At 48.9% G+C, this 22013-nt stretch overlaps 1 protein-coding gene across 3 annotated transcripts in view, besides 3 other annotated features; it reads right to left on the bottom strand.

The window, feature by feature from the left end:
• PIGU (phosphatidylinositol glycan anchor biosynthesis class U) overlaps positions 1-22013 on the bottom strand; it is a 116551-nt gene that overhangs the window by 4476 nt on the left and 90062 nt on the right. For 2 of the 3 annotated variants that reach the window (NM_080476.5, XM_011528542.2), the window contains 3 exons: positions 20420-20563; positions 16531-16655; positions 10087-10229 (listed from right to left, as the gene is read on the bottom strand). In NM_080476.5, coding sequence (NP_536724.1) covers positions 10087-10229; positions 16531-16655; positions 20420-20563 — 412 coding nt within the window. The remainder of the gene's footprint in view (positions 1-10086; positions 10230-16530; positions 16656-20419; positions 20564-22013) is intronic. The other variant, XM_017027664.2, reaches the window with a different exon arrangement.
• Positions 440-941: an enhancer, noted in NCBI's record as "H3K4me1 hESC enhancer chr20:33153261-33153762 (GRCh37/hg19 assembly coordinates)". NCBI's record gives its function as "activates a minimal SCP1, AML or CMV promoter by ChIP-STARR-seq in primed H9 embryonic stem cells {active_cell/tissue: H9 hESC(primed)}" and the evidence as "EXISTENCE:reporter gene assay evidence [ECO:0000049][PMID:30033119]".
• Positions 18178-18679: an enhancer, noted in NCBI's record as "H3K4me1 hESC enhancer chr20:33170999-33171500 (GRCh37/hg19 assembly coordinates)". NCBI's record gives its function as "activates a minimal SCP1, AML or CMV promoter by ChIP-STARR-seq in naive H9 embryonic stem cells {active_cell/tissue: H9 hESC(naive)}" and the evidence as "EXISTENCE:reporter gene assay evidence [ECO:0000049][PMID:30033119]".
• Positions 18680-19179: an enhancer, noted in NCBI's record as "H3K4me1 hESC enhancer chr20:33171501-33172000 (GRCh37/hg19 assembly coordinates)". NCBI's record gives its function as "activates a minimal SCP1, AML or CMV promoter by ChIP-STARR-seq in naive H9 embryonic stem cells {active_cell/tissue: H9 hESC(naive)}" and the evidence as "EXISTENCE:reporter gene assay evidence [ECO:0000049][PMID:30033119]".

The following is a 22013-nucleotide window of genomic DNA, read 5'->3' on the forward strand; positions in this document are numbered from 1 at the left end:
TTGGGCCGTGAGGAGAGCAGGGATTTCCCAGAGGCCCTAGGGTGCAGCCAACACAGCAGCTGCAGACCCAGAGCCCCTTTGCCCAGTCTGGACAGGGGCGAGTTGGGCAAGGGGCTGTGGAATTTGCATGGGCGAGTCAGCGGCTGTGTGATATTAAGTCTCTTCCTGTCCCCTGGGCTGCATTTTCCTCATCTGGAAAATGACAGTAATAGGCTCTAGCTTGTTACCAACAATGCTGGGCTCCTCTAGTTTTTTTTTGAGACGAAGTCTCGCTCTGTCACCCAGGCTGGAGTGCAATGGTGTGATCTCAGCTCACTGCAACCTCCGCGGTTCAAGTGATTCTCCCGCCTCAGCCTCCCGAGAAAGCTGGGACTACAAGCGTGCGCCACCACCCCTGGCTAGTTTTTTCTTTTTTTGTATTTTTAGTAGAGACGGGGTTTCACCATGATAGCCAGGATGGTCTCGATCTCCAGACCTCATGATCCGCCCACCTCAGCCTCCCAGTGCTGGTATTACAGGCATGAGCCACCGCGCCCGGCCGGGCTCCTCTAGTCTTTGTGCCAGTTAGGACCCCAGAACATGTCACTCTGTGTCCTCAGGTCTCTGGATCCCACCCAATGTGGCTGAAATACTGCCTTGCCAATCCCCTTCTCAGACTTGCCCTCTTCTCTTCCTGCAGCCACCTCTCTGGACACACACACACACACACACACACACAGGTGCACACACACGCACACTCACACTGCTCACACATGCACACACAGGTGCACACACATACATGCACGCTTGCACTGCTCACACAGGCTCGCACTGCACTCACACACAGGTGCACACACACAGGTGCACACATACACGCATGCTTGCAATGCTTAGACACACATGCTTGCACACACACATGCTCGCACTGCTCAGACACGCTCACATTGCACTCACAGGTACACATACACGCACACAGGTGCACACATACATGCAAGCTTGCAATGCTTAGACACACATGCTCACACACACAGATGCACACACATACACGCACGCTCTCACTGCTCACATGCTCGCACTGCACTCACACACACACAGATACACACACATACACGCACGCTTGCCTGCTCAGAAGTTCCCTGGCTCCCCCTGCCCTGCCCAGCAGCGCTGCAGCTCCCACCTATCCCTCAGAGGCTCATCTCCTGCCAGGAGTCTTCTCTAACCCTGCATTGTTACATGGACCCTGAAGTGAAGTCACTGCCCACTGGCCTCCCAACCAAATGGGGCTGCATTTGCTCCAGTTCTATGGCCCCAGGCCCGGCACAGGGCCAGCTCTCTCTGAGTTGTTTGCTGGTCTGTACCCTCTCAGCGCTGCCCCCAGGGACGGCTCGGTCCACATTCCTCTCTATGGCAGCCATGAGGGCTCCAGGGCCGCCTCCCTCTGGGACCATGATGAAGAGCTCATGGGGCAGCTAGCTGATAAAGGGGTGACCAGGGACAGACAGGATGAATCAGAAGTAGAACGAAACCCTCAGAACATGCTCTAGTGCAGGGCAGGATGGAGAGACAGGGAAATGAATATCTTCTGAGTGTCTGCCCTGGTCCAGGCCCTTTAACAAAAAAACAATATTGTCCCTTTCCAACCCCCCAGGGTAGGGCTGACAATGCCTACTTAGAGAAGGGAAGCTCAGGGGTTATGGGCCCTGCAAAAGGTCACATGGTAGGAAGTGAAGAGTTAGGGGCCAGTCCTGCCTGTCAGAGGCCCAATCCTGAGTTCTTCCACAACCCCCTAGGGTCTGCACCCACATGAACTGAGTCCTGCTACATGCCAGGCCTGTGCTGACACCTCAGGTACCTTTACACCCTGCGGAGTCTGCTCTCCCCAGTTCACAGCTCTGTCACTCAGTGGAGAGAGAGAGAGATTGACTTTTTTTGTAAAAAGCCAGTAGAGGTTGTTAATACAGTGTGTCTTGAAACTACTGGGCTCAGGACAGCAGCCTTGTCCACCACCAGGGCTGCAGATTCCTAGAGAAGCAGGTGCTATCACCCAGGCATGTCCTGGTTCCCCAGGCCTCCTGCTGCTGTTGGGGACACAGACACTGACATTTGACAGTCAGCCCACGCTGGGGGGAATGCATGTGGCCGTCACAGTTGGCAAAGTGCAGCAGCCTCTGCCCACCTGCCTGGGATCCAGGAAGCTGGGAGGCAGAGGAGGCTGGCGGCCGACTGTGGAGCTGGACAGCACTTTGGCGTAACCTGGCAACCCACAGGCCGGAGCGGACATTATGTAGGAGGAAATGGTGGAGGAGAAAACTCCACCCTCCAGCTCTGAAGATGCAAAGTAACAAGTGAAATCTCTGGACCTCAGTGTCAGGGTCTGAGAGGTCACAAGGTGAGACTGAGGATGAGGCTACAAGTAACTGTCCCTTACATGGCACTTTTCACTTACATGGCACTTTTCCCACATTCAGTCCTCAAAACCACCTTCCCAGTTTGAGGAAACTGAGGCCACCACCACCTCCCCCAGATTTCAACCTCCCCTAGCCTCGTCCCTGGTGCCCTGGATGCCAGGCTCACACCTCTTACCTCTGCTCTTCCCAGCAGTGAGGTTTTCAGAGCATGGATCTGATCACATTTATCCTCAGCTCTTAAAGCCAAAGGTGCAGTCTGGACCTCTGCATAAGAGGCCCTTGAAGGCCTGTGGTCTGACCACTGCTGTCTGAATTGCCCTCATTCCCTCTCAAGTGGTACAGCCAGTCCCACTGAGCTCCCAGCAGCACGGTGTTCCTCCTTTGCTCCCTCCTTCCTCCTCTCTCTCTCTCTCTCTCTCTCTCTCCCTCCTTCACCCCCACCCAGGTCTTGCTACCTAAAATCATAGAACCCAGTTAGATCCTACCCATCCCTCAGGACCCCACTTAGAGGCCACCTTCCCCAGGAAGCCTCCTTAACAGCCCAGCTCTGGGCTCCCAGCTCGTCAGGCTGCCCTGTCCTGCCCATGTCTTTTCCTTTCTCTCCACAGACCGAGGGCTCCTTGGAAGTACACCTCTGTCTCATTCACCCCTCGCAGAGTGCCTGGTGAATAGTAGGAACCTAATTAACATTTGCAAATAAATAAATTAGCTTCCCAGGAGTTACGGGATGTGCCTGAGGCCAGCGAGCCAGGACAGACAGGGCTGGAGTCGCTATAGAGTTTGGGCTTCCAGAGCCCTGGCCTTCTGTGGCCTTTGTCCTGCTGTATGTAGCCTGGGCTCTTCCTGTCACTCTGGTTGTTGGGGAGGAGAATAGGCTGGGAAGGGCCTGTGAGGGACAAGCTTGGGATGCTCAGTGCTGGAAGGACAAAGGAATGAACTAAGACCTTGACAGAATTACACTAGTTGGGAAAAGCAAAGTAAACACGCACATCCAGCAGGATGAGGACAAGGGCTCCAGGTTGGCCACAGGCACCGCATATCGGGAGCAACGAGCCTTCCCACACACAGACCTGGGATCTTGCACAGCCCAGGCCACACACAACCGGCAGGAAGAAACCTGAAATGGGTCTCGAGCCAACCCCAAATGGGGGCTACACACCACTCAGCCACTAATGACCCACCCAACACGTCTCCAAGCATTTCCTCATAGGTCCCATTTCCCAGAATGACACACCAGGCCAACTGAGAGGCAACTCCGGGAGACAGGATTGTGGTTTCACCTGTGTTGCAGTGAACAGTGAGTCCCAGGCAGGGGACAGGCAGCATGCAGGAGGTTGGTGTCAGACCTCGGGCTTCAGGCCTCACTCAAAACAGAAAGGAGAATGGCCAATGCAAGGCCAGCCCAGTATCTGAGGGTCTGCAGTACAGGGAGGGGTCAGGGCTGGCCCCTCATGGCAAATAGGCAGTGGCTTGAGGAGTAGGGTTCCAGATGATCCAGATCCTGCTTGGAAGGGTGGGTGGTTGGCCAGGTGCGGCAGCTGACACCTGTAATCCCAGCACTTTGGGAGGCTGAGGCAGGAGTTTGGCTTGAGCTCAGGAGTTCGAGCTCGTAACAACATAGCAAGACCCTGTCTCTACCAAAAATTTAAAAAGTAGCCAGGTGTGGGGGTGTGCCTGTAGTTCTAGCTACTTGGGAGGCTGAGGTGGGAGGACCTCTTGAGCCTAAGAGGTTGAGGCTGCAGTGAGCTGTGACTGTGCCACTGCACCCCAGCCTGGGCAACAGAGCAAGACCCTGTCTCAAAAAGAAAAAAAAATGAAATAAAATTAAAAAAAATTTTTTTGAGATAGCATTTTCACTCCTGTCACCCAGGATGGAGTGTAGTGGCGTGATCTCGGCTCACTGCAACCTTCGCCTACCGGGCTTAAGCGATTCTCCTGCCTCAGCCTCCTGAGTAGCTGGGATTACAGGTAGCTTGCCACTGCACCCGGTTAGTTTTGTATTTTTTTGTAGAGATGGGGTTTTGCCATGTTGCCCAGGCTGTTCTCGAACTCCTAAGCTCAAGCGATCTGCCCGCCTCAGCCTCCCAAAGTGTTGGGATTACAGGCACGAGCTACTGCAACCGGCCTACTAAAATAAAATTTAAAAAAGGAAGGGCAGGCAGACGAGAAGTCTGCTTTAGATGTAGACACAGGGCAGGAGTGGGGCTCTCAGGCCAGCTACTGGGATACAAGGGTAAGGGGGCTCTGGCTCTGACCCCCTAGTAATCCAGTAGACTAGCCAGAGGCCCAAATCAGACCAAAACAGGGATTGGCACGGGGAGGTCAGGGTGTACAGAAATGTGTTAGAGCATTGGTCATAAAATGTGGTTTCTGATGCCAGCTCATTCAATTTGTCATCAATAAGTAGTCACTGAATATTCTTCTTGGTGCTGGGGATACAGCCATGAAGAAGACAGACCCAGGGCTCGCCCTAATGGAACCCACAGTCTACTAAGAGGATGTGACAAACAAGACTGTGGATAAATACACCCCTTCACAGCTTAGTGAGTTTGGGTAAGTCTCTAACCCTTCCAAGCCTCAGTTTCCTCATTTGTATCATGAGTTAATAATAGTACTTCCTTCAAAGGGCTGTTATGAGGAGTAAATTCCTTATAACTAAAGAAAAAAAGGAAAACAATGTAAAGGGCTGTCAGTAGAGTAGTTACATAAAGTGTGGTGAGTTCACATATGCAGGACTCAAATAAAAAGGAGGTTCCTCTCTCACATATGAGCAAGGAAAGTTCACCCAGACATTTTACTAAAAGGGAAAAAAGTCCTACTTTCATCATTATGTCAATAATAAAACACACATACCCACATACAAATAAGCCTCTCTCTCCATGAGCCTATGAGTTTATGTAAATGCACACAGAATGGTTCGGAAGGCCATCTGAGCACGTGATCAGAAGATTATAGGGATCACGTGGGGCCAGCCCCTAGTAAGCTCTCCTGAAACATGAGCCACTGTTATTTATTTTTATTTTTTTTTGAGACACAGTCTCGCTCTGTCGCCCAGGCTGGAGTGCAGTGGCACGATCTTGGCTCACTGCAGCCTCCACCTTCAGGGTTCGAGCAATTCTTCTACCTCAGCCTCCCGAATAGCTGGGACTACAGGCGCGTGCCACCACATCCAGATAATTTTTGTATTTTTAGTAGAGACGGGGTTTCACCGTGTTAGCCAGGATGGTCTTGATCTCCTGACCTCATGATCCCAAAGTGCTGGAATTACAGGTGTGAGCCACCGCGCCCGGCCGCATAAGCCACTATTAATTTTAATTTTAGGAGAAGATTTTCTTATGTTCTCTGTTTTTAAACAGAATGAAGGTGAGTGTGACACTTTGCCCTACTCTTTTAAAAAAGCTAAATTTAAACAAGTTCCTTTTTGTTTATATGTAATCCTTGATTAATATTTTCCACCTGCTGGTCACTGACTCACAAAATAAAAGGGTTAAAAAAAAACTGCTTCCTTTGGTTCATGGACTGTCTCTCCAGGAATCTGCTCTGGGTATTTGAAGAGCATGTTGCTCTTGCTGTTTCCCATGTCAACACACATGAGTAATGGCAACAGGACCCACAAGTTATGTCCAATCCTCTCAACACCCTGGAAGCTGTGGGTCATCATCCCGGTTTTTGAGATAAGGAAACTGCAACCTAGAGAAGTTAAATCACTTGAGGAAGTGGGGGAGGCCCTCAAGAAATCCACTGGTCTCAATCCCTCCTTCGTTCTCTCACACTCAGGCGCACCCCCCACCATGGATGGTTTACTGTTGTCATTTCCTGTTACTGACTCTGAGGAACAACCATAATTAGCAAATGAACCATGCCACAGGCAGAAAAATAATAGCTCCCAGGGTAAAGGATGGGGCCTTAGTCACTGGTTTACCTGCCGGTATAACTAATAATCCACACATAATTTGTTCTGTAATAGGGTATGGCACTGAACAACTCAAACAGAGCAGGATTTAAAAAAAAATCTATAAGCCAAGATGTTCTCTATATTCAGCTCTTGATTTCAGCAATGATATCAAGGTTCTAGATACTTCCTTGAAATCTGTACTCATCTGGTTCCTAAGAGAGCTCTGCTTTGTCTTGCCCAAGGAGGAGAAAATGAGGCAGGTGAATACCAGGCACCTTCCTAGCTCACAGCAGGATATGGAACTGAGAACATGTCCCCAAATCCCGTACGTCTCGATGGAAGACACAGAAGCAGGGGCTGGGTTTGGGCTGCGCAGGACATGCAAGGCTGAGAAAAAGACAGTGGGACAAGGGGACCTCATGAAAGGTCTCTATGAGGAGGTGACACTTCACTCTTAGTAAAACTTGAAATGTCTCATTTTGCACTCTGAGGCTCCCAACAGGTCCAAAGGCAAGGGTGGCATAACTTTCATGAAGAGGGGCTCTCTTACCTCAGTCAGCGCTCTGGGACAAGGACATGCCTCGAGTGACTGCCTCAGTGAGCAAGTGGCCCCATCTGATGCACCCTGTTAGTGACCTGGCAGCAGCAGCAACAAAGTCGAAAGCCAGCAGCCCCAGGAAGTACTTGGACCCCCTGCTGGGAGGCCTGTAGGTTGGTGTGGCCTGCCTGAAGGGCAGCTTGGAAATACCTGCCAAAGGCGTAAAATGCATATGCCCCCTGACCCAGCAAATCCCACCACGTGGAATCTACTCTATAAAACTCCAGCATGTGTGTACAAGAATATGTGGAGGGATATGCAAGGCTCTTCCATTTTATTTATTTACTATTTATTATTACTTTTTTATTTACTAATTATTATTTTTATTATTTATTGCTATTGACCAGCCTGGTCTCAAACTCCTGACCTCAAGTGATCCTCCCATCTCAGCCTCCCAAAGTGCTGGGATTACAGGCATGAGCCACCAGGCCCGGCTGCAAGGCTCTTACATTTAAAGTGACAAAATAGGCTGGGCGCAGTGGCTCACACCTGTAATCGCAGCACTTTGGGAGGTCGAGGCGGGCAAATCACTTGAGGTCAGGAGTTCAAGACCAGCCTAGCTAATGTGGTGAAACCCTGTCTCTACTCTCTACCAAAAATACAAAAATTAGGCGGGCATGGTAGTGCACGCCTATAATCCTGGCTACTCAGGAGGCTGAGGTGAGAGAATTGCTTGAACCCAGGAGGTGGAGGTTGCAGTGAGCCAAGATCACGCCATTGCGCTCTATCCTGGGTGACAGAGTGAGACTCTATCTCAAAAAATAAATATATAAATAAAGTGCCAAAATAACCAAGGGCAACCTCAATGCCCATCAGCAGGGCTGTACCTAGTCCAAACCACTGGATGTTACAGAGGTATTAAAAAATTATCTCAAGACAAAATCATTAAGTGAAAAACAGCAAGCCAAAGAATGCTACTTAAAGGAGAATGCCATTTACCTACATAAACAAACAAACAAAAAACCCTCTTTATGTACCTGTGTCTATAGCTGTCTATAAATGCACAGAAGAAAGTCTGCAAAGACACATACCAAACTGATCCCAAAGGCCACGTCTGCAGAGGAGTAGAAAATGATGGGGGCTCAGGCAGATCTTTTCTTTTCATTGCATAGTCTTTTTATTTTTTATTTTTTGGTAGAGATGGGCTTTTGCTATGTTGCCCAGGCTGTTCTTGAACTCCTAGCCTCAAGTAATCCTTCTACCTTGGTCTCTCAAAGAGCTGGGATCACATGCATGAGCCACCACACTCAGCCCATTCCATATTCTTCTATTTTGTTTGACTTCTTTCCCCCAGCAATAATGAATTCATGTATTACTTGATGATTTAAAATACATTTTAAAAAGAGATTAAGAAAAAAAAAGGTAAGAGATCATGCCAAGAGTCCAGCTGGTTTCTCTCAGCTATGAACACACTTGATCCACCTGCCTTTGGTTTCCATCCCTAACCCCAATCCCTCTTTCCAATAATTCAGTTTCTCCTGCCTTCAATGGCACCTGACCACTTGCAGACAACCCCCTGTGCTGCTTTAGAGTCCCTTCTCTCAGAAAGGCAGCCACAGAGAAGAAAGCTGTTATCTGGCAAGTTCCATGGATGCTTCATAATCACTGCAACTGTATTTCCAGACCCAAACTTAAGACTAAGACTCATGACAAGACAACAGGCTGTGGACTATTTCTGTGGAGCTTGCCAACCTCCCTAGAGGCCCAGGGCAGGCCCAATGCCCACCCATGCCAGCTACCACTGGAAGGTAAGGAAAAGGAAGGAGATCCCAGAAAGGCAGGAGAGCCAGGGCAACCTTCTGGATTCCTTCAGGATATGCAATTGAGCCCTGCAGAATTCTGCCTGCGTGGGTCAGAAGTAAGAGAGGCTGCGCATCCACCAACCCTAACTACAGTGTGAGAGACAGAACAGGCCCTCCGGCTGGGCCCCACCCAGGCTACAAGGCCCTCTATCTCTCTTTCTTCTGCTCACAAACCAAGACAACTGGCTGGGCTGAACATTAATCCTCCAGAAATGTCCATGCAGGAAACACCAGTCCCATCACTCACTGAAAAAGCCCTAACTCCTTTCTTTTCCCGCAGCTAACCTTGGAGGCAAGAATTACCCTGGGGATTATTCACTGGCATCATTAGTCTTTCCAGCCAGCCTGCTTCCCATCCAGGCTATTACACATAGGAAATGCCTGGCTGTGCCAATGGCAATTGAAATGGTAAATGGTACAAGTGATTCTCAAAAGACTTCCACTACGAGGCCAGAGCCTGACCTGAGAGAAGGCAGCACGTGGAGGAGGGAACTTCCAAGAAGCGTGGGTGAGTCCACCTAGAGTTTGCTAGACCCACTGCCACAGAACCTCTGGAAGAGCTTATTAAAAATATAAATTCCTGACCCTGTATTCCACATTGAATCAACATTTCTGGGAGTGGGATCAGAGAACCTGGCTTTTTAAAACAGAGCCATGTACTTGGGACGGCTGCAACATAATTGCAGAGTTTAAAGCCTGTTAACAGGGAATCTGCATTTTTAACAAGCTCCCTCTGAGGATTTTGATTGAGAATCCTGCTCTGTGGAACAGAGGGACAGGCTTCCCAGCTCAGGGGAAGGCTGAGCTCCTTGCTGGTACTCCTCAGCCTGTGACCACAGCCTCCTCTCCACCGCTCCCAGCCACACAATTTATGCTCAACTCCCCAACAGCCAGACCGGCCCCCTTCTCCTCTGCCTGCCTTTGTTCCTGCTGTCCCGAGAGTCCGCAGAGCCTCTCCTCCCCTTGCCTTGCCCTCTCCCCCTCACTCTATCTACTCCCTATGGGTGCTGGAACCACAGGCACCATTACAGAAAGGGGTGCCTCAGAAATCAAGCCTTATGTGAATTTTGTTCTTGGCTCCTCCAATGACCTTCGAGAAGAGAGGACCTCTGCAAGCCTCTGTCCCTCATTTGTAAAGTAGGGCTAACATGCCCTGTCTCCTAGGCTTGCTGAGAATACAGCATGGCTATGGTTCAGTGTGGTGCCCAATACATATCTGCCAGGTTCAGCCTTACACTGCTCTTACTTCCCCGTCCTCACTGACTGGGAGCTACTTGAGGGGAGTAACTGTGCCTCCTTCACGTCTGCACCCCCCGGTATGCAGAATCCAAGGCCATCGTTGAATGCTTGAGGCTGCAAAATGAATTCCTGTCCCCAAGCTGACCCCCATGCTGTCCCTCTTACCTGCCCAACGTTGAAGGTCAGTGTGATGGCATAAAAGAAATTAGAGTTGGCACTTCCTGCATAAATCCAGAGGTGCCACAGGACAGGGAAGAGCAGGGAACAGACGATGATGATGCAGGTGAGGACAAAGATGTTTCTCAGGACTGCAAAGACAGAGGGTTACAGTTAGCCTGACACGCTCTCTCTGGCATGCTTTCCCTGCTGCAATGGCCCCCCTGAATGGAGAGGCCCAAGGTGAGCATCATGTAGCTCAAAGGCAGAGCACCCCCAGAGGTACTGGGGTGCCAAGAAGCAAACCCCAGACTCCTCAGTCAATGGCTCCCCATGCCCACAGCTGGTGGTAGCTCCTGGATTTCGATTATTTCCTCCCACTGTGGGCTTGGCTGGCTGAAGACCAGCTATAGTTAGAAATGCCATGAGTGCCTCGGGGCACCAAACAGGGCATTTCAGGAAGATATTCCCCTCACCTCCTAATCTTGGAGGGTCCAAGAGTATCCCTCTCCCCAAGCAGGGTGCCATCTGGCCATGTGGGATTATGGGTGGGAACCCCAGCATGAACCGTGACGATTAGAGCCCCACTGTGGGTCTCCATGGTGCCACAGTCCTGGGTCTTAGGAACACGTTTTCCATTCTCCTTAACTGGTGTCTTAGGACCCCTGCCTCGCTCTTCAAACATTCCCAACTCTCCCTTAGATGATAAAGGACCTCTTTTTGACACCGTCTCTCACTCCTTGCCTCTAAGGGAATGCCGAATCCCACCAGGAAGAAAGCTCTCCCTGAGGTCTCAGGAAGGACCTGCTACTCAAGGGTGATCCAGAGGCAGACAGGCTGGCTGGCTTCAGCCAAACAGGAGTGTAGCATGGCAGCCGGGTACAGACCTTGGTTAAAATCCTGCTCTGCATTTATTAGCAAGTTTCTCTAGACCTCAGCTTCCTCATCTGTAAACTGAGGCTACACACCTAGTATGTACTTATAAAAATTAAAAATTAGGGTGGGCATGGTGGATCATGCCTGTAATCCCAGCACTTTGGGAGGCTGAGGTAGGAAGATTGCTTGAGCCCAGGAGTTCAAGACCAGCCTGGGCAACATAGTGAGAGCCCATCTCTAAAAAAATTTTAAAATTTAAAAATAAAAAATGTTTAAAAATAAAAATAAAATGGGGCTAAAATGCACACTTCATTTGGTAAACAAGATGACATGTGAAAAAATGACACAGATATATCACTGGCTACATTAGTTTTCCATTGCTACTATAGCAAATTCCCACAAACTTAGTGATTTAAATAATATTCTTTATTATTAAACAGTTCTGGAGGTCAGAAGTTCCAAAATGGGTCTCACAGGCTAAAATCTCTAGAGGAGAACCCCTTGCTTGCCTTTTCCAGCACCCAGAGGCCCCCTGCATTCCTTGGTTCATGACCCCCTTCCAGCTGCAAATCCAGCAATGGTGGATTGAGGCCTTCTCACATTGCATCACTCAGACCTTCTCTTCTGCCTCCCTCTTCCATCTTTTTTTTAAAATAGACTATTTATTTTGAGATGGAATCTCACTACATTGCCCAAGCTGGAGTGGAGTGGCTGGATCATATCTCACTGAAGCCTCGAATTCCTGGGCTCCAGGGATCCTCCTGTCTCAGCCTCCTGAGTAGCTGGAACTACAGGCATGCACAAAGAAGCCCAGTGGACTTTATTTTTTAGGGAAGTTTTAGTTTCACAGCAAAATTGGGCAGAAGATTTCCCATATTCCCCCCACCTCCACCTCTTCCACTTTGAGGGACACTTGTGATTACACTGGGGCCACCTGGATTGTCCAGGATAATCTCCCCTCCCAAGGTCTTAAAGTCCCTTTGCCATGTAAGGCGATGTCTTCACAGGTTCTGGGGATTACAACGTGGACATCTTTGTGAGGGGAGGGCTACTACCCTGCCTACCACACTGTACTTTTTCCCCCGTTTTAACTCTCTAGGGGTTATCACACAGGAGGATTGTCTGTTACTTTTCTTTATCTTTATCATATTTTTAAAAACTAATAAATATCATTTAAAATAATTAAAAGAATACCTTTTTAAAAAGAACTTAGCACTGTGCCTGGTTCCCAGCAGACACTTAATGAATGGAAGTTCCCTTCTCTTCTCTGATACTGACCTTCAGGAAATCCCTTCTCCCAAGTGACAGTTTTGAGAGACTTAAAGGGTGGAGAAACTCCCAAACATTTAGGCCATTTATATTAGTTGTACAACTTAGTAGAGATGCTATACTGGGGGCTCATGCATTGCAAGGGGCCTAGATGATACAGATGATTCTCAACTCCCGCTACAAAACAAAATCACGGCCGGGTATGGTGGCTCACGCCTGTAATCCCAGCACTTTGGGAGGCTGAGGCAGGTAGATCACCTGAGGTCAAGAGTTCGAAACCAGCCTGGCCAACGTGGCAAAAACCCGTCTCTACTAAAAATACAAAAATTAGCCAGGCATGGTGGCGGGTGCCTATAATCCCAGCTACTCAGGAGGCTGAGGCACGAGAATTGCTGGAAGTGGAGAGGCAGAGGTTGCAGTGAGCCGAGATTGCACCACTGCACTCCAGCCTGAGCAACAGAGCAAGACTCTGTCTCAAAACAAACAAACAAACAAACAAACAAAACAAAATGAAATCACACGGAGAGCCCTCAGACTAGTCAAAGTCTCTAGGGTGGGGTTCAGGCATCCATATGAGGTTTTAAAAGCTTCCCAGGTAATTCCAATATGCAGTCGAGGCTGCGAACCACTGGATTACAGCTGCAGCCCCTTACAGTCTGCAACAGAGATGCCACCCAACTGTGTCAAAAGGAGAATAATCAGGACACGGTAGTTCACAGTTCTTTGTAAAGCTGAATGTTTTCAAGTTACAGTTCATTCTTTATTGAGAAATGATAGGTATCATTTTGTTGTTGTCATTAAAAAGTCCTTCATTTTATAACATGGGGAAGAATGGCTGGTAGTTGATTGTTTTAATGTCTTCAGCAAAATAAAAAGCTGGCAATCTGTCACCCGAGTTTATTGAAACATTAGTGGTCTAAGAAATCCCACAATTTGGACACTGGCCTGGAGGGCTTGCAAGATCCTCTTTTCTAATCTGAAGTTTCTCAATTCTGGGTTTTCAAAGATGAGAGGCCAAAACCCTGACTCAAGCCTCCTGAGACCTCCCAGGAACAAGGAGTCTTGCAAAGGGACGTTTTCACTGAGAATTACTATTATTATTAAACCATGTTACTACCTCAAGAAGGAGAACAAATGCTTCCCACTCCTCTAACCCAACATCACTATGTACATTTCTCAGTGGTTCTTTCTGATCCCCTGGAAATTATTTTGCTGAAAAGAATACAGACTATTCCCAAAATAAAATGTTTGCAGCCTGCCAGACCAGGTGGTTCTTGTTCTGTGCCTCCAGCCAGGGACACAGATTTCAGACAGGGTGACAGGAAGGAAACCAAGTGCAAAGAGACGAGAGAAGCTCACTGGCAGCCTCTGGGTGCTATCTCGAAGGGCTGCAAAGATACATTCCCATGCGGCTAGAGAACCATCACCAGCATGCAGTTGGCTTCTGGCCTGTGGTGACCTCTGCAGGAATGGGGAGCTGCTATTCACTCTTGCTGGCTGACAGGCCAGAAGATTAAAGCTATATATGCCAGAGCAGATGGAGCTGGAGACCTGGGGTACGGGACAGCTTGTTCCAGGCATCAGAAAGCGTCAGAGGTGACCAGGGCCTAACAAGGTGAAAGGCTTCACCCTTCATCAGACTTGCGAGGCCAGATGGAATCAGGTTCCCCACCACATTCACTGGGTGGCTTATCCAATCTCTGGCACCATGATTGATGAACTGGAACTTCAGGCAAGCCACTTTCCCTTCAGAGCCTCAGGCATTCGGAAAGAAAATCTCACCTGAAAAATCCAGTCCAATCAGAAGGGGAACAGGGGGGATTTGGGGACTTCAAAGGCCATGGTGATATTCCCTTTCTTAAACGAGGTGCCAAAACACGTGGGAATATATTTTATCATGATTCTTTATATGTATATCTATCAACATTCTTTTATCGCTATACAATAGTAATAAAAACAAAACAAACACACACACAAATCCAGCCCTTTGGTAACTGGCTCCTTCTGCTGTACCATGCAGGCTGGCATGGGTTCTGCCAGCAGGCTGTTCCCTAACACCACAATTGTGCGTCTGTATGACTCATCCAAGCTCCAGAGAGTCCAGCGTCTGGGACCTACACTCAGGGAGGGGCCACGTTCCTTTTCTCCTCTCCACTGCACAGGAAAACAGAAAGGTGAATGTGGGAGCATGCATGTTAGCGCTGACAGCTAATGTTTAAATGGAATTCCTAGCCACATTAAATATATTCAACGTAGGCTTAAACACGTCTCAACACATACATCCCACTCATAGGTCCTAAGGACCAGGGCTGATGCTGCTCCCAGCTAATAATGATTCACAGTTGTCAAGCCCCAAGCAGGTTCTCCAAGCACGTGTACTCCCTGCTGCAGGAGCAGTGAAGCAAAGGTGGACAGCTACTGTTCTCTGCAGGATCTTCAGACAACCTGAACCTGCAGACTATGTGCCCTGCCAGCCAGCAAAAGCAACTATTAGATCATTCAGGTTTCTGGAAACCCCATCCTTCTTCTTTGTGCCTCCTCACCCCAGAGGGCATAAAATAGTTTATTCGTCTTGAAAAATATGTTTATTCTGATGACTCTGGCTACCAAGCCCGAAGCTCTGATCACGGAACTATGTGAGAGACTCCCCTGCATAATTATTACTCACGATACTAACTGCAGTGCTATTTACAGATATTCTTTCTCAAACTTAACACACTCATGAGTTATTTTCTTTATTTGATTAATGGAAAAATCAGATGCTCAGAAAGGTTAAATGATGTGCCTAAGAACACATGGGGCTCGTAATGGCAATGCCAGGAATCGGAGTCAAGTGACTCTCCAGACTGCTCAGCAAATGGGATGAAAGACAGTCACTGAGAGAGAAAGAGTGCCCAGTGTGGGATGGGCAACCACAAAAATCCATTCTACATTCTTGAAATCCACTATCACAAACTGAGGCATGTCCATGTTTTGGTGGTCTCATGGTTTGTCACTGGCCACTCTGCCGAGGGGCCCCAAGCTGACTCTCAACCTGCTGGACTGGGTGACTCTTGTCTGTGCAGAGAGGATGTCACCACAGAAGACACTGCTTCCTCCTCCCAGTCAGGCCAGATGGGTCACAGCCCCACTAGGCCATCACCTGCAGGCGTAGCCCTGGCTCAGCTGCCCACACCACTGTTTACCTTCACTCAGAGGCACACTCCTATAGGTAGGCTGCTTCCCACAGCTAGTCAGTTTCACTTCCTGGTTGACACCCAAAACAACAACAAAGATTCACTTCCTCTGAAGCCTGCACTCCCTAGTTCATTCTTGACACCTTGCTGGACACCCACAGCAGGCAAGGAAAGTTCAACAGCTCCCTTCCATGCCTCGTTTAGAGAATCAGGTGGTGCTGGGCCACTGACACTGCCTCTTTATTGGGGAGGTTTAAAAACCCGCTCCACAAATGTTTGCAAGGTCTTCTATGTGTCAGCTTCAGTCCTGAGTGCTGGGGACACAAAGGTGAATGAGTTGTGATATCTACCCTGACGGAGCCCCCAAACAATGAAAAGAACCCACCATAGAGGGCTAAGAGCACTGGGGGCCTAGGCAGCACAGATAGGTCACCACTAAGCCACCTCTGAAGAGGGGATGGTTAGAGCTTAGAGGGGTTGTCACAGTGGGCAGGGAAGTCTAACTTTGCCCCTCTGCCTTCTAGTAACCTTTGGGTGCAGCGCTGGGGAATGGTTCAAAGCCCAGGGCATAGAGTTCTGCTGTCTAGTATGGTAGCCTAGCTACATGTGGCTTCTGAAATTTAAATTAAAAATTCAGGTTCTCAGGCACACAAGTGGCTAGTTACCCTATTGAACTGTGCAGACAGAGGACTTTTTCATCATCATAAAGCCCTGCTGGACAGCACTGGGTAGGGGTTCACAGATCTGGATTCCAATCCCGGCTCTTCTAATTAGAAGTCACGTGACTTTGAATGAGTGGCTCTACCTTTCTGTACCTCAGTTTTCTCATCTGCAAAACGTGGATACTTACCTCAAAGGCTGGTGTGAAGATCAAATGAGCTAATTAATGCATGTAACACTGTGAGAGCCACAGTGGCCAGGTACACAGTAAGTGCTCAATAAATGGCAATTATTTTTATCATCACAAGTCCGCGGCACCTGGAAGCAGATATTGTGCTTCATGCCTCTGCTCCCCTCCTAGTGCTGCCAGCATAACAGGTGCCTGGTAAATGCCTATGAATTCCTTTTCCCTGCAGCAGTCTCATCCAGGCCCAGGCTGACACAAATCTGTGGCAGAGGCGGGAGTACTCACATCTGTAGAGATGGTTCCACACGGGGAAGAAGGCCATGTAGAGCGCCACGTCCCCCACTGTCGGGTAGGACTTAAAGATGGCGATGACAGCGATCTGGATAAACATGAAGAAGATGGGGTGCTCCCTGGGGCAGGGCAGGGGAAAGAGAGAGAGAGATGAGTCAGGGACCAGGCCTACCCTAGAGACTCCTGACTCCATCCTTTGAACCAAAAATAATCCTCAGGGGACTTCAGGAAGGGGCTGGCTCTGCTATCCACAAGGCATGGGCCAGGCCCCAGTAGCAGAGCAGAAAACTGCAGGGACCCAGAAATACCCAGAGGTGGTGAGGAGGGCCTGGCAAACACTAGGGAAACAGCCCACAGAGACATTTCCCATCAACAGTCCCCCTCTGCCTCTGCCAGCTCTGGGCCTTCCCCTAGGAGCCACAGAGGAAGAAAACAAATGAAGTCAGCATTCTTTATGACTGGGCTTAAATGACTGCTTGGCAGGATAATTAGGCAGCCTCCCTTGCCAGAGGCCCCTCTGACAATTGGACGCAAGGCAGGAAGTGCCTCCTTGCTGATGCCTTTTTTCTCTAACAACATGGTCAGCAGGGTCTACAGACCCATAGTGCGATGAACTTCTTTCCAGGAAGAGAACTGTGAACTGCACAGAGCTTTTCAGTTCTTAAGGGCTGGGACTATTCTTGTTAACTTAAACTAATAGCAGTTTCAATTATTATTTTAACCTAATAATAAGTGATAGCAATGGGTATCCTCTCCTGAACTCCCTCTGTGTAAAGTCCTTTTCCTGCATCCTCTCACGTGATCCTCACCACATCTCAACCACCCCTCAAGGCAGGCAATCCTGGGCCAGGCGCAGTGGCTCACATCTGTAATCCTAGCACTTCGGGAGGCTGAGGCAGGAGGATGGCTTGAGCCCAGGAGTTTGAGACCAGCCTAGGCAACATAGTGAAATCTCATCTCTACAAAAAATTTAAAAATTAGCCGGGTGTGGTGGCATATGGCTGTAATCTCAGCTATTCAGGAGGCTGAGGTGGGAGGGTTGCTGGTGCCAGGAGGTTGAGGCTGCAGTGAGCCATGATCAACCACTGCACTCCAGCCTGGATGACACAGTGTGAGACCTTGTCTCAAAAAGAAAAAAAAAAAGTAGGCAATCCTCTCACCTGTACTTCACAGATGAGGAAACAGATTCAGAGAAGTGCACTGACTGAGTAGGTTAGTAAGCGATGGAGTTGTCTCCAGAGCTCTTAATCACGCCCAATACCATTCTCCTGAGTGCTGATCACACTTCCAAGCTCTGGTCAGGAGAGAGTTGGGGGACAGAGCTCAATCTCGGTGCCCCTCCGAGAGCTGACCAAGTGCTAAAGGGAAGCCAACAGGGAGAGGCTGGATCTATACCCTCCTCAGCTACATTTCAACCACATGCACATGGCCTACTTCTGCACAGTACCTAGATGCCTAGCCCATGAAGGTTTTCTTCAGAGATTAATGACCTTTTTGTCTTGCAGGTCAAAGGTCAGGGTGACTCAATGGGTATGAATCTGAGATGTGCAGACAAACATGTCCACACCCAGAATGCTCCAGTGCTGCTGTGCAGCAAGTGCCTCAGAAACGCAGCTTGGCAAAGGCGTGCAGCCCTGTAGCCTCTAAGAAGCGTCCAGCTATAGCTCAGTGTGAACATCTTCCTAAACACAATCCACATCACTGGCTTCAGGCTTTTCAGGTAGCTGGTAACAACGGCAACATTTCTATGAAAAGGCTGGTGAAAATGCGGTGACAAAAAAACAGACTACAGCCTCCTGCAGCACTGCACAGGGACTGGGGTGGCCTGAAGGGCCCTGTTCCTACAAAGCTGGCACTGGAAACAAATCTTGCAGGGGGCAGGAGAGCTTAGGTAGAGCTTCATACCCAGGCAGAAGAGAAGACAGCAGGGAGAGCAGGTCTCTTCATATTTTCTGTCCCCACAACTGTGTGGGCCTGGCTTAGGTCATAAAATGGTGACATTATTGCCTAGCCAGGAGCAATGTGTGGCTTTGCATGCAGACAATAAAAGCTGCCGGAGAGCTGGCTGCACGGCCAGTGCGGAAAGGTGCCCTGGGATCCCTGCTCCTCTTCACCCCATGGCTGGGCCTAACCGGAACAAGGACAGGGAAGGTGGACCACAGACAGCTGGAGAGCTCAGCTGGGCAAGGCTGCCAGAGTTCCGGAGCCTGCCAGGCCATGGAAGGAGGGTGTTCTGTCAGAAGCCAGGCCAAGGCTGTGTCATGGGAAGGAAGCATCAGCTTTTGAGATTTTACAGAATGGGAACCACGTGCATTGGTGCACAGACCATGGAGAATGGCAGGAAGGTTAGGACAGAGAACTTGAGCTCTTGAAACCTAAATCAAACTCTTTCAGGTTCCCCAGACCATCTAGGCGTATCTGTACCTGTCTGTGTCTGTTTTCCCTTATCTGAAGCTAGGATAATAGAACCATTTCCGGAGGCTACTAAAAGCAATCTCTCCGGAGCTTGGCATGGTGCAGGGGGATAAGCATAGATTCTGGAGCCAGACAAACCTGAGTCTAAATCCCAGCTCCACTGCTTACTAGCTGTGTGACTGGGAAAATCATCCCACCTCTCTGAGCATCGATTTCCTCAACTATAAAATGGGAGTGATAAGAATCTAACGCCTACCTCCAGGAGTTGCTAGGTTAGGTATGATTATGTTTCAGAGGGTCTAGAAAGGCACCTGGAATGGAGCAGGCCTAACATCTATCAGCTCTCTTAGACTGCAGAAGAGGACTCCACACATCCTTTGGAGGGAAACAGATCAGGAGATTAAACAGTTGCAGGTGGCCAGCCTCCCAACTAAACCATCCAGAGTCCCTGTGGAGGACCTGTCACTGGGCTGTTGATGGAGACATTCCACCAGATACACTTTTTCCAAACACACTCCCCTCCACAACTCCTGTTCTTTTTTTTTTTTTTTTTTTTTTTTGAGACATGCACTTCCGCCTGTCATCCAGGCAGAAGTGCAGTGGCACAAGCAGCTCGCTGAAGCCTCAAACTCCCGGGCTCAAGTCATCCTCCTGCCTCAGCCTCCCAAGCAGCTGGGACTACAGGGGCACACCACCACACCTGGCTAATTTTTGTTGTTGTTGTTGTTGTTTTTGTTGAGATGGAGTCTTGCTCTGTCGCCCAGGCTGGAGTGCAGTGGCACAATGTTGGCTCACTGTGACCTCTGCCTCCTGGGTTCAAGCAATTCTCCTGTCTGAGCTTCCAGAGTAGCTGGGACTATAGGCACCCGCCACTATACCTGGCAAATTTTTGTATTTTTAGTAGAGACAGGGTTTCACCATATTGGTCAGGCTGATCTCCAACTCCTGACCTCAGGTGATCCACTCGCCTTGGCCTCCCAAAGTGCTGGGATTATATGCGTGAGCCACTGCACCCAGGCAGCCACCTGGCTAATTTTTAAATTTTTTGTAGATACAGGATCTTGCTATGTTGTCCAGGCTGGTCTCAAACTCCTGGCCTCAAGTGACCCTCCTGCCTCAGCCTCCTGAAGTACTGGGATTACAGGTGTGAGCCACCATGCCTGGCCACCGCCTGGCTCTAGTCCAAAACAGTGAATGGGCTCAGCAGCAATGTGGACTTGAGCACCTCAGAGTGAGGCCAGGGAAAATGCTGGGGCTCCAAAGCACCCTCACTGCAGCCTGCACCCATGCGACTCTATTGCCTGCTATGGCGCTGGCAACTGCGGCAACTGAAGGCAGGTTCCTTAGGTGAGATGCTCTAAACCTGACAGCAGGTGCTCCACATTTGAAGGCCACCCTCAAGGCTACTAGAGGCAGGGGCTTCTCGGACAGCTCTGTACACACAGCAGCAGCAGGTCCAGCCACTTACTTTAGCTTTATGGCTAAGGGGATGGTGTAGAAGAAGACGTTGATCTGAAACACACATACAAAGAAGAGGCTGAAGTGCTCAAACATCTCTGCAAAGAAGTACCAGAAAAGACCAATGTTTGGAGTGAGATCTGGAACAGAAAGTCTGGAATTAAGAAAACAAAGGGAGAGAAAAAAGACAAAAGTTATAAATTGTCTGCTTTGACCTTGATTTCTCCTGAAGACTTTGGTCACTGCTGGGCAGCCAAGGACGACTTTCTCCCTAGAGAGATCAGGATGGGAAGGGCTCTCTAGGTACCCTGGATACAGGTAATTAACAAAAATGAGCAGAGACATATAATGATAACCCATAACAAATATTAGCTAAGCCAAACAAATCTGAAATGAGGCAGGGATTCATCCTAGGAATAAAGAGACTCACCCCTGTTTTACTGCGCAAGACAGTTTAAAATCAGGAGATACCCAGTACTGTAACAAATGAGTTTTAAAACACAGGATCTATTTTGGGCATTCTAAAGACCTGCCTAGAGGACCACGCTCAAAGATCCTGCTCCTCCCCATTCTTACTCCACACCCCACAGCAGGAGTCAGAAAACCGAGTGCCTGAGACCGAAGTGAGACTTCTAGGGGCTTTAGGAACAATCGGTGGGTTCTGGCTAAGATCCCCAGGGTCCCAGTCTTAATTGAGAAATTAGGGTTTAACTGGAAAACTTTTTGTCCAATTAAATCAGACAAATATTTCGCTGCAATTCTGGCTCTCCTAAAGTTTACATTTTTGATTTAAAAAAATATGAAGTTGAAACTGATCTCAATACACAATTCAAAAAGGACAACAAATAGGGCACGCAGAGGGAGAGATGAGTGATGGCTCTTGGTCAGATTTCCCTGACTGAGGCCTCCGCCCAGGTTAACTTTTGCCTCTTGCTGTAACTATACCTCCTTTTCTGGGAAATGAGGTAAAGAACACAATCCGTGGCCCAGGAGAAAGAACTCTTCACCTGGCACCGCAACTCCTATCTAAGGCAGAGCATGAAGAGCTGAAGTTAGCAAGTCATTGTTATGCTCAGCCAGGATTTAACACAAATAAGCAGTCCAGAATTCCAAATGGGAGTTCTGCCACTCAGATCCCTTCCACACATGCACAGGTTTAAGAGTCTGTCACCTATTGGGCTGTGAGCTCCCCAAAGCTTAGGGAGCAACCGAGTCTTCGGCACCTATGCAGAGCCTGGCACGCAGAGGGCATTCGGAAATGTTTATAGAATTCATGAATATAAACTCAGACAAGCCTGCAATACTCAAGTCCATTTGAGTTTTCCCTCAAGGTTTGACGTGTGGCAGGTGGCATTATTTTCAAACTGTCAGAGGCCCTCTTGCACTAGAGGAACACATCCATTCCTGTTTAGAATTGAGCCCAAACCTCCCAGTTAGAGGCTGGTATTTGCTTTGGATGTTCCCAGGGAGTGCTCTTTAACCCACTTATGCTGGAGGTTGCAAATTTTTTTGTGTGAAAAATCAGACCTTGGCGATGACCTTGAGCAGTAGGACGTAAATAACTCCCACAAGCTTCGTGTTCCAATAATAGAACACTAGGCATA

Source organism: Homo sapiens, chromosome 20 (assembly GCF_000001405.40).
Source record: "Homo sapiens chromosome 20, GRCh38.p14 Primary Assembly".
Classification (NCBI taxonomy): domain Eukaryota; kingdom Metazoa; phylum Chordata; class Mammalia; order Primates; family Hominidae; genus Homo; species Homo sapiens.